Source organism: Homo sapiens, chromosome 3 (assembly GCF_000001405.40).
Source record: "Homo sapiens chromosome 3, GRCh38.p14 Primary Assembly".
NCBI lineage: Eukaryota > Metazoa > Chordata > Mammalia > Primates > Hominidae > Homo > Homo sapiens.
Genome location: NC_000003.12, coordinates 72,454,191 through 72,463,575, shown reverse-complemented (window position 1 = coordinate 72,463,575; position 9,385 = coordinate 72,454,191). Strand labels below are relative to the sequence as shown.

The 9,385-nt window shown below is 46.4% G+C and overlaps 1 long non-coding RNA gene across 1 annotated transcript, besides 2 other annotated features; it reads right to left on the bottom strand.

Annotated features, from left to right (window-relative positions):
* On the bottom strand, positions 1-4,955 carry LOC105377160 (uncharacterized). Its single transcript, XR_940961.3, has 3 exons — positions 4,666-4,955; positions 4,451-4,563; positions 1-569 (listed from the first exon to the last, which is right to left on the bottom strand). It is a non-coding gene; the product is annotated as an uncharacterized LOC105377160 (long non-coding RNA).
* Positions 564-858: a silencer, noted in NCBI's record as "tiled region #11074; K562 Repressive non-DNase unmatched - State 23:Low". NCBI's record gives its function as "weakly represses a minimal TATA promoter and a strong SV40 promoter by Sharpr-MPRA in K562 cells {active_cell/tissue: K562}" and the evidence as "EXISTENCE:reporter gene assay evidence [ECO:0000049][PMID:27701403]".
* Positions 564-858: an enhancer, noted in NCBI's record as "tiled region #11074; HepG2 Activating DNase matched - State 8:EnhW". NCBI's record gives its function as "activates a minimal TATA promoter and a strong SV40 promoter by Sharpr-MPRA in HepG2 cells {active_cell/tissue: HepG2}" and the evidence as "EXISTENCE:reporter gene assay evidence [ECO:0000049][PMID:27701403]".
* Positions 4,956-9,385: the final 4,430 nt, after the last annotated feature.

Genomic DNA, 9,385 nt, shown 5'->3' with positions numbered 1-9,385 from the left:
TTTGTGGGAAAAATGATGCTCTATTTTGAGGGCTCTTTCTAAAAACAGAAAAACCAAGTCCAGTGCTGTGCCCAGCAACCTCATGGTCTAACTTGTCCCTCTACTGCCACGCCTGCTGTGCCCCTGGCAGCTCTCAACCACACCCATCACACACACACTGGCCCTAAGTGGAGGAATCACTCAGGGCTGCTGAGATTTGAAAGCTCACTTCCACTCCAAAGCATCATCGTGCCTCGCTCCTCGCTGACTGTAACCCCAGCCCCCTGCACTGCATTCTGCCAGTGAGTGATTACACGGAGCTCACTCGCAAGCCTCTCCTGGGCATGGGAACAGTCCTCTCTGCAGCGTGCTCTCCACCTGATGACCTGAAATGAAGAGGCCAGTGAGGGCTCCACAGCAGAAGGGAGTCTCGATACTATTCAGGCAAACAAACATTAAAAAACGGTTGGTAGAAAGGAAATCTGCCTGCTAGGGAGAAGAGTCTGGTACTCAGAGTAGAGGTGGGTAGCTCTTCATGCACAGTAGATGGTGAATATGCATCCTTTATATGCATCCTTTAATCACAAAGCCTGTGGAGAGAAGATGCTGTAGTTATTATTTATACTTGGCATCCAATCTTCCACATAAATAACAGCACCGAGGTCTGGTGTTTGGTTTAAGTCAGCTCCGTTTAAACAGCCTGGCCAGGTGCAGACACACACTCTGGACCTTTGAACTCTGTGTGTTGTAATCCAGATGTTTGGTCAAGGTGATGAACTTGGGTCACTGACGGTGAGAGAGTGTGCGCTGCCCTCTTCTAGCATCTTCCACTGGGAGCCCTGGACAGTAGGCCTGGCCCCAAGCCCACTTTCTTCGCCAGAGTCAAGAAACAGTAGCAGCTGCAGTTGTTGCTAGGGATGAGGGATCATCCACTTGGGAGTTGAGATAGCTGGGAGGGGGAGGTGGGTAGCAGGAAGGAGGTCATGAAATTGACCGTGCTTAGCTGCTGCCCACGTTTGGATTACTCGGAGACAGTCTGCAATGGGGGAAATATTAGGCTTTTAATGACAGCCCTGACAAACATGATCCGTATGACCAAATGAATCTTAAATGCAACTGCTATCATTTGTTAAAGGAGGATTTGCCAAGTGGCACGGTTCTCCTAGAGTTTTCCTAGTCCCACACTTTGCCTCAAACACGTACACAGAGCGAGGGGTTTGAACTTTCTGAGTTTCATGCAAAGCACATATGTTGTTTGGGTTTTGTTTTGTTTGTTTTTATTTTTGCAAAATATGTTATATAAGAAAGAAGAATATATCAATGAAATGGTAAATACAAACCCTCCAAAAGGATATAACATATTTCTAATGAAAGGAAACAACCACCTTCGCTTTATCCACACAAAAAAATTTAAAAAGATGAAGAGGGGCCATTTTCATTCACAGATTGTGGAATCGTACTGTTTAGTGCTCTCCAAATGAGTATTTTTGAGGCATGACTTCAATGGGAATTCTCAAAAGGAAGCAGCTCCTGGCATAGCAAAGAGAACACTGACGTTGGCAGCCAGGCAGCTTGGATTCCGGGCTTGACCGCTGACCCCTGCTTCCTGGCTTCCAGCCCCAGCACTCCACTCAAAGTGTTCTTGTCAAGGGTACCAGTGACCTTCTAATTGCTAAATCCAAAGGGCATTTTTCAGCCCTCTTCTGACCTGACCTCTCTTCAGCCAGATGACATAATTGCCAACTCTTTCCTCCTTGAAGTTCTCTTACCCTGTGGCTTCAATGACACCATCCCATCCTGGCTATCCTCTAGCTTTCTCCATCACTCCTTCTAAGACCCTCTTCTAGGCTGCTCTCTTTTTCCTCAACAGCTATGGGGTAGCAACTGTGGACTGAAGGCTTTGTGTTTAGGCTTTGTATGCCTCTTCGTATCAACAATTCATAGCATTCCTGGGCTTATTGGTTCCATTTTAAAGATAAGAAAACATCAGTGATGGCTCATGACTATAATCCCAGCACTTTGGGAGGCCGAGGCGGGCAGATCACTTGAGGTCAGGAGTTCCAGACCAGCCTGGCCAACATGGTGACACCCCATCTCTACTAAAAATACAAAAATTAGCTGGGCATGGTGGCACACGCCTGTAATCACAGCTACTTGAGAGGCTGAGGCCCAAGAATCATTTGAACCAGGGAGGCAGAGGTTGCAGTGAGCCGAGATCATGTCACTGCACTCCAGCCTGGGTGACAGAGCGAGACTCCATCTCAGAAAAAATTAAATTAAATTTAATTTAAAAAAAAAGATAAGAAAACTGAGGCTCTGAGTGATTAAGGGATCCTCACCCAAGGCGGCATAGCTAATAAGTAGCAGGAATGGGAATCCCAACCTAGGTCTGTTTGAATCCAGAGTCAAGTTCTCAGCTATTAAACTCTAATGGTGCCTTCTCAAGTAGCCCCTCCCTTAAATAGAGGTGTTCTCCAGAGTTCTGTGTTTGGCTCCTTTTTCTCCTCTCTGCCCCTGTCTCAGCTGGGGCTTCTTCTCAGCCTTTCCTGTAGTTAACTCCTCTATGATATCTTCAGCCAAAATCTGTCTTCTGATGCTGGTTTCCAACTGTTTTCATGCTATCTCCATTTGCATGTGACACAGCCTCCTTGTAGAGGTGGGGTGGTGTACTCCCCAACTGCCATTTCATTCCTGATGGTTGGCTAAAGCCAGTGATTATTTTAGGAGTGGGCTCATGACCCAATTCTGCCAGTAAGACACGAAGGGGAAGATTGCTGGGGACGTCTGGGAAAGGTTTTTCTCCCTCCTAAGAAGACACATGAAAAAATGGTCCCTCTTCTTCCTTTCGATGCTGCACCTTGTAATATTGGAGTGGTGACAACTGTCTGCAGCCATGAGGAGAACCAATGTCAGGTTGAAGCTAGTAAGAAAAGGATGGAATCTGTGTGCTTACGAACAAGTTGATTGTACCTCATCTGGGACTGGAGCTTTCAACTATGTTGAATATTAATAATACATTTCCTCACGGTTTGTATGGGTTTGTTGTTGCTGTGGTGGTTGCTACTTGCAGACACAAGCGTCCCAAATAACACACTGTATTCATCATATCTATAACTTAGGTCAATATTTCCTCCTCTAAACAGCCTCTCCTCCTGTGACTCTATCTCTGTGAATAGCACCACGATCCACTCAGTCACCCAAGTCAGAAACCTGGGTATTATTCTTGACTCCTCCCTCTGCCTTATCCAGAGTGTCCAATCATGAATTAAGTCCAGCAGCTTTTACTGTTGGAAATCTCTTCATTTTTTCCCAGAAACCCTCTCCGTGTCTTTTTTAGTTATTTGTTATTTTTACTGGTCTTCTGTTCCCTTTCTCACTCTGATCCAAGCTACTACTATCTGCATTGTTCCTAAAGACATTTAAAAAAATTCAATGTAAATTCTATAAATTTCCCAATTATAGTCTGTGAATAGGCCATCATTTTCTTCAAGATAAAATCTAACCATCATCAGTGAATAGCCCACCGTTGTCTTCAAGATAAAATCCAACCAATCAGCATGGTTCGTAAGATGCTTCAAGGCAGAGCTTACCTCTCTGGATGCTCACATCCACCAATCCACATGCACTCCAAGTTCCAGCACACTGGTTGCCTTGCAGTCCACAAGGCTCTTCTCCTTAGTGTCACCACATGTGCTGTTCCCTGACCTTGGATACCCTTCCTGACTTGTTTCCCTGAACCATACTGCTTGGCCAGTATGCTCCCATACACTTTGATGTGTGTCTCTCATAACATAGCAGGTAGGAATTTCAGACATGCCAGAAATGTCTTTCCTTATTGTTCTCTCTCTGTCACCTTGATTTTTATTTTGAACCCATATCCTGACTCAATTTCAGTGCTAAGGGGGGTGTCTATCTGGTCTCAGGGCATGTGTTAATCACAGGTTGCCATAGAGATATCCCTAGTTTCCCCTTCATGGCCCCTTCAAGTCCAGGAGTTGTCTTGGCAATGCCCAACCCAGGCTAGAGATCCTGGAGGCTCTGCACAGTGGCCTGTACATAGACACACAACCACTGCCACTCCTGCTCCGGGGTCCGGCCACCTTCCCACAGCCCCATTTGTAGGCAGGCTCCCCCTCCTCTCTGGCCCACAGCCCCCTCTACCTTATGAACTTTTCATCTTCTCTCCTTCCCCGGTGCCTGGAGGAAGCACTCCCCTGACCTTCCTCCTTCCAAACATTTGTCTATCCCCCACCTACTCTCAGTTCTCCTACCAGGGACTTCGGGGGTTTAGAATTACGGATCAGGGAACACGAGAGGCAGAGATTGACGGGCCTTTTTTGCTTCTCCTCTGCCACATTTCCTAAGACGGGCAGCATCAACAGTCTGCTTGAGAAAGGGGAAAATACTGGCAGACAAAAGAACATAGGGTGACAAGTGACCAATCACCCGGCCACCTCCCTGTTCCCATCACCTGCTCATGTGCCTCCTTCTTCCAGACTGTGAGGCCTGCAGTGTCCGTGATCCTTGTATTGTCAGCACGTGGTATCTGGCTCATAGTAGGTACTTCATAAATATCTGTCAAGACTAAAAATAAAAGTAAGAAGAGAATGGACTTGGAGTCAGGAGACCTGAATGCATCCCGCCAACTGTCTTCCCAGTTGTGTGACCTTGGGCAAGATACCCTACCTCTCTTCTCTTGGCGGTAGCAACAGGGAGAAGAAGCTCTGAAGAGGTGAGGGACATGGCGCCCTTCAAACCTCTGCAGCTGGTACTTCCCCCTCTTCCCAGCCTTCTCAGATTCTGGCTCCATTTTACCATCTTCCTGTCATGCTTCAAGTGACCCAAAACTTTTATATCAGGTGCCTCTCCCCCTTGCAAAGCTGTTTTGTGTATAAATAGATTTTTGCCCTTCCTCCTCCGGGTGGGCCCCTTTCCTTCCTTCAGTTAACAACTTTCAGGATTCTTGAGTTCCAGGGATTTGGTTTGTGATGAAGTACAAAGAACTGGAAATTCTGGTTCTGCCACACCCTGGCTGTGGGGTTGGACCAGTGTCTAAGTCTTAGTTTCCGCATCTGGAAGATAGAAATGATCATAACTGACTAACTAGCTCCTTCAGAGCCTGGACTCTGGAGCCCAAGCTGCCTCGGTTCAAGTCTCAGCCCAGTCACTTCCCAGATGTGCGACTCAGGGTAAGTGACTTAACTTTACTGCTTCTTAACTTCCTAATTTATAAAAGGGGCACTGTAATATAATCTACCTCATATGCTTATTGTTAATATTCATTGAGTTATTAGTTCATTAGTTAACACCTAAAGTGCTTAGCACCTTGTCTGAGTAAGCACTCCCTATGTGTTGGTTATTATTATCTCATAGGCAGCCTCTCTCTTGTTTTTGTTTTTTGGCAGGGTCTCGCTCTGTTGCCCAGGTTGGAGTGCAGTAGCATGATCTCAGCTCACTGCATCCTTGACCTCCCTGGCTCAAGCGATCCTCCCACCTCAGCCTCCTGAGTAGCTGATTACAAGCATGCACCACCATGCCCGGCTAATTCTTGTATCTTCTGTAGAGACAGGGTTTTGTCATGTTGGGCAGGCTGGTCTTGCACTCCTGAGCTCAAGCCATCCGCCCACCTCGGCATTCCAAAGTGCTGGGATTACAGGTGTGAACCTCTGCACCTGGCCAGGGCAGCCTCTCTTTAGCTACCCACAAACTCATGATGTGTGGATAAGTTTGCTGGGTCTGCTGTAACAAAGTAACTCAAACTGTTCTACTTAAACAGCAGAGATTTATTTCCTCACAGTTCAGGACCTAGAAGTCCAAGATCAAGGTGTCAGCAGGTTTGGTTTCTCCTGAGGCCTCTCTCCTTGGGTTGCAGAAGGCCACCTTCTTGCTGTGTCTTTACGCGGTCTTTCCTCTGTGTGTGCATTTGTCTTCATTTTTCTATGTAGAGTGTCTAAATTTCCTCTTCTTATAGGGTTACCAGTCAGACTGGGCTCACCCAAATGGCATTATTTTAACTTAATCACCTCTTTAAAGACTCTATCTTTAATACAGTCAAACTCTGAGGTAGCCAGGACTAGGGCTTCAACATATTGATTTGGGAGTGGGGGTGGGGACACAGTTCAGCTCATAACAATGTGTACATAGACCCGAACATTATTAGATGTTCCTGTGGGTAAGTCTCTTTCTTAACCTTACTCTTAATGAATGTCAGGATATTTGAGTTCTAGGGATTCCATTTGCAGCATAATAGAATCTGCAATCAGAAAAGCAGGTTTTGAAGTCCAGGTACAAAACCTGGAGAGTTGCAGGAATGAACTTGGATGAACTACATACCCTGCCAGTGTCAATGGTAATTCACACAGAGGCAGCTGTGAGAGGCAACAATGTATGTGAAGGCCCTCTGTGATCTCTCTGCCCCTGGGTTTTTGCCTCTGAACTAAGACAGTACTAGATGGATGGTCTTAACTCTTCATTCCATCTTCAACATTCTATGACTCTGACTCTAAGGGTGGAAATTCAAGTATCAAGGACAAGCTGCCAGTAGCCGAGCACAGTGGTATGTGCCTGTAGTCCCAGATACTAGGGAGGCCAAGAAAGGAGGATCTCTTGAGCTCAGGAGTTCGAGACCAGCCTGAGAAAAATAGACCCTTGTCTCAAATATAAAATAATAATAAAAAAAGAACAAGCTGCTGGGGAAGCAATTTCTGGGCCCGGGGCTTTAATAAACATTGCAGAACTGGCTAGGCGCAGTGACTTACGCCTGTAGTCCCAGCTCTTTGGGAGACTGACGCAGGTGAATTGCTTGAACCCAGGAGCTCGAGACCAGCCTGGGCAACAGGGTGAAATCCCGTCTTTACAAGAAATACAAAAAGTAGCTGGGCATGGTGGTATATGCCTGTAGTCCCAGCTACTTGGGAGGCTGAGGTGGGAGGATCACTTGTGCCCAGGAAGTCAAGGCTGCAGTGAGATGACATTATACCCCTGCACTCCAGCCCTGGGAACAGAGTGAGACCCTCTCTCAAAAAACAAACAACAATAATCACAATAACAACAAAAAACACGGCCGGGCACAGTGGCTCATGCCTGTAATCCCAGCACTTTGGGAGGCTGAAGAGGGCGGATCACCTGAGGTCAGGAGTTGGAGACTAGCCTGACAAACATGGAGAAAACCCGTCTCTACGAAAATACAAAATTAGCCAGGCGTGGTGGTGCACACCTGTAATCCTAGCTACTCGGGAGGCTGAGGCAGGAGAATTGCTTGAACCTGGGAGGCAGAGGTTGCAGTGAGCCGAGATCACGCCATTGCACTCTAGCCTGGGCAACAAAGAGCAAAACTCCATCTCAAAAAAAAAAAAATTATGGAAAAACTGAAGGAAATCATACCATCATAGGGAACCACTCACCTGAATATTCACAAGGCTCAAACTGGAATGTACTAAAGTTCATCATCCATTTCCTGGGCTCTGGCATGTGTGGCTGGACTGCTATGGCAAAAACTCACAGGGAGACAGGCCCACAAACTAGGATTGAACAAAGGAAAGTCCCTGTCCCAACAAATATTACATTCTACTGGATGAACCAGGCCAAAACATACATACACACACACACACACACACACACACACACACACACCATCATACAGTGCTAGGTCATGCTAAGGGTGTAAAGAAAGATAAAGCAGGGTGAGGGTGGCAGTGACTGGGGATTATGCTATGTAAGATGTCCTAGTCAGGGAAGTCCTCCCTGAAGAAGGGGCATTTAGCATCCACCTGGACTATGAGAGCAATGTAGCTGTGGGAATATCCAGAGGAGAACAGGCAGAAAGGCCCTGAGGAGGGGCCGGACATGGCAGGAAACAGCAAGGGGCCCAAGTTCCTAGAGCTGAGCTGGGGGTGAAGAAGCCAGGGGTGGATGAAGTTAGCAGGTCTTGAAGGCCAGAGTCAAGATTCTGGATTTTCATCTAAATGTCATGAAAGTCATTTGAGGATTTTGTGCAGGTGAGTCACCAGCATCTTAAAAGGATCTCTTGACGTGGTTTTGAGAGAAGACTTTAAAGAATCATGGTAATCACAAGGCCGATGGCCAAATATTTCTTGCTCTCTACCTCCTGGGCACATGCTGGCTTCCTGTTTATGCTTCCTGTTGTGCAGCGTGGCCATGAGACTCTGACCAATGAGTTGTGAGCACAGGTCACTGTGTCACTTCCAGGCCAGGCAGCTGGTTGCCAGAATGCGTGCCTCTAGAGCTCCTTTACAGCCACCAATGATGTTCAAGCTGGATGCAGCTCAGAAAGCCTGGGTCTTTGTTTGTGCTGCTATCACAAAACACCCAAGACTGCTGGGTAATTTATAAAGAACAGAAATTTATTGTCTCACAGTTCTGGAGGCAGGGAAGTCCAAGATCAAGGTGCTAGCATTTATTGAGGGCTGCTCTCTGCTTCCAAGGTGGCACCTTGAACACTGTATCCTCCAGAGGGGAGGAACGCTGTGTCCTCACATGGCAGAATGCAGTAGGGCAAAGAGGATGAACTCCCTCTGCCATGCCCTTTTATAGCAGCATTAATCCATTCATGAGAATAGAGCCCTCATGACCTAAACACCTCTGCAAAGGCACTACTTCCCAACACTGTTGCATTGGGAATTAAATTTCCAACGCATGAATTGTGGGGGACACATTCAGGCCACCACAGCCTAGGTCCAAAGAGTGAGGAGAGACAGGGTGGAGGTGTTGACCTGCAGACAAGTGGCTTTAGCAAGAAATCCCTTTAATCACTTTGTTGGGATAAATCACGAAGATTTGGGAGGGTTACCATAGCATAACCAAGCATATCCTGACAGTACAGAGTGCAAGAAGAGAAGACTAGAAGTCCTCCTCTTTTCAGTTAGGAGGCTGAGAAGTAATTCTTTGTTGGACTGGAGCGACAGCAATAGAGATAATGGGAAGTGGTCAGATTCAGGATATATACTGAAGGTCAAGTGCAAAGGCTGGACTGATGTAGGGTATAAGAAAAAGAGAGAAGTCAAGGATAACTCCAAGGATTATGGCTTGAGTAACTGGATAAATTACTGAAAAGAAGAATACTCTGGAAAGGACAGGATTATTCACAGTGCCAGGCAGACAGCAAAGCTACACGATGCTAGGTCTTATGGTTATTACTTTAAGAGGGGAAGGAATATGGAGTGTAGATGCTTAGGGAACTTTTCAATCCAGAGTTATTGAGATGTAACTTATATACAGTAAAATTTACTTACCTTTTTTCAGAGACAGGTTCTTGTTCTGTCTCTCAGGTTGGAGAGCAGTGGCATGACCATAGCTCACTGCAGCCTCAAATTTCTAGGTTCAAGCAATCTTCCTGCCTCAGCCTCCTGAGTAGCAAAATTTACTCGTTTTGATGTACAGGTCTGAG